At 45.9% G+C, this 6238-nt stretch overlaps 1 long non-coding RNA gene across 18 annotated transcripts in view; it reads right to left on the bottom strand.

Annotated features, from left to right (window-relative positions):
- Window positions 1-3635: 3635 nt before the first annotated feature.
- LINC02128 (long intergenic non-protein coding RNA 2128) overlaps window positions 3636-6238 on the bottom strand; it is a 61006-nt gene continuing 58403 nt past the window's right edge. For all 18 annotated transcript variants that reach the window (NR_184285.1, NR_184286.1, NR_184287.1 and 15 more), the window contains one exon: window positions 3636-4234. This is a non-coding gene — a long non-coding RNA (long intergenic non-protein coding RNA 2128). The remainder of the gene's footprint in view (window positions 4235-6238) is intronic.

Raw genomic sequence — 6238 nt, 5'->3', positions numbered from 1 at the left:
AAGGAGGTCACAGACTTGGAGTCACATCACCAAATCCTCAGAAGTCCTGGGTTCCAGCCTCCCACTCATGACGGGATTCCTCCCTCCATAGCCTCCCTGACAAGAGGCTGTGCAGACCCAGGAGTACCCCTCCAGTGCCTGGGAGGTTGTCACCTTCATTCATTAAGAATGATGGTTATTTCATTGTTTCTCCCCTAAAAAGGAGGAATATTTATTTCTCCCTAGTGATCATAAACACATTGCCCATTTCAGGAGACGAATCTCTTATCTGGTGTTTTTCCAAGCCAGGGATCTGAAAACTTTTCCTGTAAAGATCCAGATAATAAATATTTTCCAGCTTTTCAAGTCAAGAGGCAAAATCAAGGACACTATGTAGGCATTTATATGAGAACCATTCAAAAATAGAAAAGCCAGCTGGGTGTGGTGGCTCATGCCTGTTATCCCAGCCCTTTAGGAGGCCAAGGTGGGAGGATCTCTTGATGCTAGGAGTTTGAGACCAGCCTGGGCAACATAACTAGACCCCACCTATATAAAAAATAGAAAAATTAACTGGGTGTGGTGGCACACGCCCGTAGTCCCAGATATTTGGGAGACTGAGGCAGGAGGGTCACTTGGAATTTGAGGCTGCAGTGAGTTGTGATTGTGCCACTGCACATTAGCCTGGGTGACAGAGTAAGACCTTGCCTCTAAATAAGTAAAGAATGATGTCAATGAGGAATCTCTAGCAACTCGGGAAAAAAAGACTCGGGGTTGGAAAACAAGCAAGATAGCAAATGTGTGTTACTATGTTTACACATAAATTTAAAATAAATTAGAAGTGTAAAGGTGTTGGGGGGCAAAATTCAATTTAAAATATTACCTATAGTTGAGTTCCAGTGATAAGGTTAGAGATGAATATTTTTGTCTCTCCTCTTTCAGGGTTTCTGTAATGTCACTTGATTTTTCATGATGGATCTAGTAGATTTTGGTGGTTTCTACCATACTATTGGCCATGCCTTCTTCTTCTTCCTCTGGCAAAGGCATTCTGGTTTTCCTTTCCAAACCATCCCTCCCTATTCTCAATTCATGTAGTTTGGTGAAGCTAAGCCCACCTCCACTAGCTCCAGGGATGGGTGCATGCTCTAAGCCCACCTGACCGGCACATTCCATTCCCCCTAGCTCTAGGATTGACTTATGGGTAGATTTACCTGAGACTTCTTGAGCCATTAGGGAAGCAATAAAAGTTGTGATGATATGTATCCAGAGATACTTGCAGCTGTCTTATCACCAAAAGGGGAGAACCTGCCTGAAAATGGAGCTGGTCCAGAGGAAAATAGAGCAGAGAGATGAAGGGACTGAGGGAGAGAGAGAGAAAATGCTAATATAATTGAGCACCTGTATCCAGCAATCCCTGAAGTCCATCTTCCCCTGTCGTAACATAAACCAGTAATCTCCCTTTACTGCTTAGGTCAGCCTGAGTTGCAAATCTGTCACTCTCAACTAAGCTTTTGAGAATTTGTGCAATGGGAAAAAAAGAAAACAAAAACCAGCAAGCTTGACCTTCTCTCTTCTACTTTTAATCTTAGTTTTGAGTTGTAGGAAGAAAGGTGCCTTCTTCTCCTTTTAGACATATGAAGGTAACTCTCAGCTATCTGCCTGCTTTCCTCTGCCACTCTTCCGCCTCCACCACCACATACACAGGCACACACACACATGCATATACACACCTGCACACACATAATGCACACACACAGAGTCTTCTCCAAGCTAAACTCCATAGCTCCCTCAACCATGAATCCAGACCCATCTTCAGCGCCTCCTCCCTCAGCAGCATCATTTTCAGGAAGTCTCCACTCAGGCCTCCTTGACATAACTCTCTCCATGTGCAGAGAGGTCCTGCAGTATATCTGGTTAGGAACAGATAACCAAGGAAGGCAGGTCCCAGCCGGGCTTCAGCCCTTTGCATTCTGTGTCTCCACATACAAAAGTGCAAGGGATCAGATGCAAGCAACTTAGGAGGAAGCTCAGTGAGAGGAGGGTAGAGACAGAGGCAAGGTCAGCAACACCACCCAGTGGGGGATGCCAGTTAATGGGAGGCAATTTTGAATTCAAATCCACTCTTTAAGACAGAGGTCACCAACTGGCAGCCTGCTCATTGGACCAGCACACACTTATGTTTCACTTGGCTCACATAGTGGTTTTAAATTATTTGAAACTGAAGAATGTCATATAAGAATCCAAACTTTCTTTTTTTTAATTAATTAATTATTTTGAGATGAAGTCTCGCTCTGTCGCCCAGGCTGGAGTGCAGTGGTGTGATCTCGGCTCACTGCAACCTCTGCCTCCTGGGTTCAAGTGATTCTCCTGCCTCGGTCTCCCAAGTAGCTGGAACTACAGGTGCCTGCCACCACGCCCGGCTAATTTTTTGTATTTGTAGTAGAGACGGGGTTTCACCATATTAGACAGGATGGTCTTGATCTCCTGACCTCGTAATCCGCCTGCCTCAGCTTCCCAAAGTGCTGGGATTACAAGCGTGAGCCACCATGCTTGGCCAAGAATCTAAAATTTCTAAGTCTCTTAGAAAGCTGGCACCACCAGGCCCATATCTCACAAGGTAACAACTGATTGGAGTGAGACATGGTCGCCCCTTTAAGAAAGGCAAGGACACTCCTGTCTCCACCCTGTTGTCTCCCAACACCCTGCCATCACTGACATTTGTCAGCGAGCTTGTGCTGGCTGCTGTGTTTCTCTACCCCGTCAATCAAATGGAAAAATAAATATCCATGTGTCCATGTGGGTGCATGATTTCTTTCTTTCTTTCTTTCTTTGTTTCTTTCTTTCCTCTTATTTCTTTCTCTCTTTCCCTTCCTTCCTGCCTGCCTGCCTTCCCTCCCTCCTTTCTTTCTTTCTTTCTTTCTTTCTTTCTTTCTTTCTTTCTTTCTTTCTTTCTTTCTTTCTTTATTTATTTTTGACAGACTCTTGCTTTGTCAGCCAGGCTGGAGTGCAGTGGAACGATCTTGGTTCACTGCTGGGATTATAGGCGCCCACGACCATGCCCAGATAATTTTTGTATTTTTAGTAGAGACGGGGTTTTGCCATGTTGGCCAGGCTGGTCTCAACCTCCTGACCTCAAGTGATCCACCTGCCTAGGCCTCCCAAAGTGCTGGGATTACAGGCGTAAGTCACCACACTGGGTCAGCTGCTTGATTTTTCTTACACTTAGCCTGCTTCATTCACTTCTATTACTTCCCTGACCCCAGAAGTGACTGAAATAATTTTTATAAATTTCAAATATATTCAGAATTGATAAACAGCAATCATTGGCATAGCTCCATCAGACAAAATATTGAAATAATTCTGTGCTTATTGGTTCATTACCACTGCCTTGAAACCCTGAGGGCCTCCCCTGGTGCCTAACCACAGTATCCAGCACTTCCAGCCCTCTGCAGTGATGCAAGTCAGGAGATAACTTCCTCACGCATCCCCACCCTCCCATGGCCATGCACAGGTCAGGAGGTAAGGCCTGGTACTGCAGTTGGCAGCCCTTTCAGTGCCCCAGCTGAACCATTTGTCCATGGTTTGCATCTCACCCTTGAAAACACTCGACAGTTATCTTACTTTGAGTTCCCCCAGAGGCAGACTGTGAGACACAGATCTGGGTGCAGGTCATTTATTTTGGATGCGATCTCAGGAGGCAACAGTAAGAGAGTGAGAAAGTGAGGCCAGGAAGGGAAGGCAAGACAGGGGTGTCAATGAGCAGGTTACCAGGGTTGGACAATGGGAGCTTGAGCCTGCTGGGGACTTGTGGGAGATTGCATAGAGCACATCTCAGGGCTGTTCCACCTGAGAGGGGAGGAAGCTGAGAATGTATCCACCAGCTCCATTTGTCATTGGTAGAGAGCTACTTCTAAGGGCATTAAATCCCTGGCACTTCTGGCCTGGCCTGTGTTCAGCTGAGAAATGCTGCCAGGCAGGTAGAGGAGTGTGAATGCTTACAGCAGGTAGCTGGTGGTGTGCACTGAACAATTCGCTGAAGCAGCAGGCAGGTCTGACGGAGTCTGCTGCAGCAGTAAAAATCAGTGATGACATGCATGGCAGGCAATACTGCTTTCTGGGTGGCCGGGGATCCCCAGTCACGGAGGTTTACCAAATGGAGACTCTGGCTGTGTTTTTCCTTGATGATTTGTTTATATGAGATCCCATGATTCTCTGGCTCCTGGATTGCTTATTTACAGAGATTTCAGGATTCTCCTGGCTGAAAAAAAAAAAAGAACGTGGAGAAACTTCAACATTCAACATTCTAGGAAAATTTGGCTCCACAAAGATCCCATCAACTCATTGCCTGCTTCTTGCTAATCTAACCATTTTCAAATTCCCCTTCGCAATTACTGCAATCAAGTTATTATCAATCATACTATCAATTGCTTGCCCTGCTCTAGGATGTAGGTTAAATATTCTTGTGTCAGTGGGATGCTGCATCCTAGATTTTCATTGAAATCTAATGACTTTCATCTTCAAAGAAACTGTTTGGAGCTAGTGCTCCATCCCCACCCCTGCTGGTTTAATTACAGCACTTCATACATTTCGCATTCTGAAGATAAACACCCTGTTCAGCATTTATCCCAGAGAGATGCTTTTCAAGGGGTAATGTTCCTAAAGTACCCACTCCAGCAAGAGGATGGCTCATCATCTCAACCTTATGAATGTGTATCTGGCCTCTGGTGAAATGCAGCCAGGAGGCTTCAGCATCCTCCCAGCTGGTGCCTCCCCATGCTGGGGCCTGGGCCCATGCTCCAAACAGCCACAGGGAGAGCCTTGGTGATTGAGGCTGGAAATACTACCAGATCACTGAGTGGGCACTTCTGGAAAGTAGAGCACTTGGGTTTTTTCAAAGCATTGTTATATGTTTAATGTGTGCTTCCTCAATTTTCCCACCATTTATTGAACATTCATTTAACAGGTATCACACCACCAACAAGTCATCAAGACCTGGAGAAGGTGGGAGGAATTTAGGAAAGGTAGTGGAAGAGGAAGAAGATGGGTACCATTTGTGGTCCTGAGATCAATGGAGCAATGGGTGTTGTAGCTCATCCTGCCACCTCCCTTCTTCTAAGTGTCCCCTCAGAAAGAGAGGCCCACGGGAACTATGAATGCCTGTCATGTGCCAGGTACCATGGGCACAGCAGTAAACAATGCAGGTATCCTTCAAAGCATCCTGTCCGCACAAACTTCACATTTCGAAGGAGCAGGACCACACACACACACATACACACACACACACGGAAATATAAAACAATCACTAATTAGGATCAGATCCATGAAAGGGAAAATAGAACCCCACAGTGAAGAAATATAGAAGGGAAGGTGTTTAGGAGAGTTGGGCAGAGAAGGTGTACCAATTTAGGTACAATTTTGAGACAGAGTCTCGCTCTCTCACCCAGGCTGGAGTGCTATGGCGTGATCTCGGCTTGCTGCAAACTCTGCCTCCCGGCTAAAGCCATCCTCCCACCTCAGCCTCCCAAGTAACTGGGATTACAGATGCATCCAAGCAACAAATCCCAAGTAACTGGGATTGCAGGTGAACCATGCCTGGCTAATTTTTGTATTTTTTGTAGAAACGGGGTTTTGCCATGTTGCCCAGGCTGGTCTTGAATTCCTGGGCTCAAGCGATCTGCCCATCTTGGCCTCTCAAAGTGCTGGGATTACAGGTGTGAGCCACCATAACCGGCCTTATCATGCATTTCTTACGTTGTGTTTTCTGCATGTGTTCCTTCACTGTTACAATGGGGAAAGGGAATACCAAGTTCCACACATATTCCTCTTCATCCCCATTGTGTACTAGCAGCTCTGTCGCTTCCTGATGATAGGATCAATTATCTCTGCCATGATGGTGACTCCTCTCTTACCTGCTGGCCCCTGGATACAAAGTATTTAAAGCACCCTTGTAGCAGTGGTAGTTTTGTAATTCAATGGTATACTTGCTGTGTCCCTGGCAAGAGTATATCCTCTTTGGGAACCAAAATCTTTAATCCCAGCAGAGTCCACAGTTGGGAGGATGGAAAGCATAAAGTTCCCTGCAGGGTCAGTGGGAATAATGTTAAGGGATGTTCCCATTCTTTGGTTCCTGAGTCCATGTACTTTTCCTATCTGGGACCCAGGGATCTCTGATAGAATGCATGTATTGCATTCTGAAAGATGGCATCTGATGGCCTTGCCTCCAAGCTGGCACTTACTTGTGCATTTGGAAGGCCATTCTAGC

This window comes from Homo sapiens, chromosome 16 (assembly GCF_000001405.40).
Source record: "Homo sapiens chromosome 16, GRCh38.p14 Primary Assembly".
Classification (NCBI taxonomy): domain Eukaryota; kingdom Metazoa; phylum Chordata; class Mammalia; order Primates; family Hominidae; genus Homo; species Homo sapiens.
Note: the sequence above shows the minus strand (reverse complement) of the source record. Positions and strands in the feature narration are given on the sequence as shown.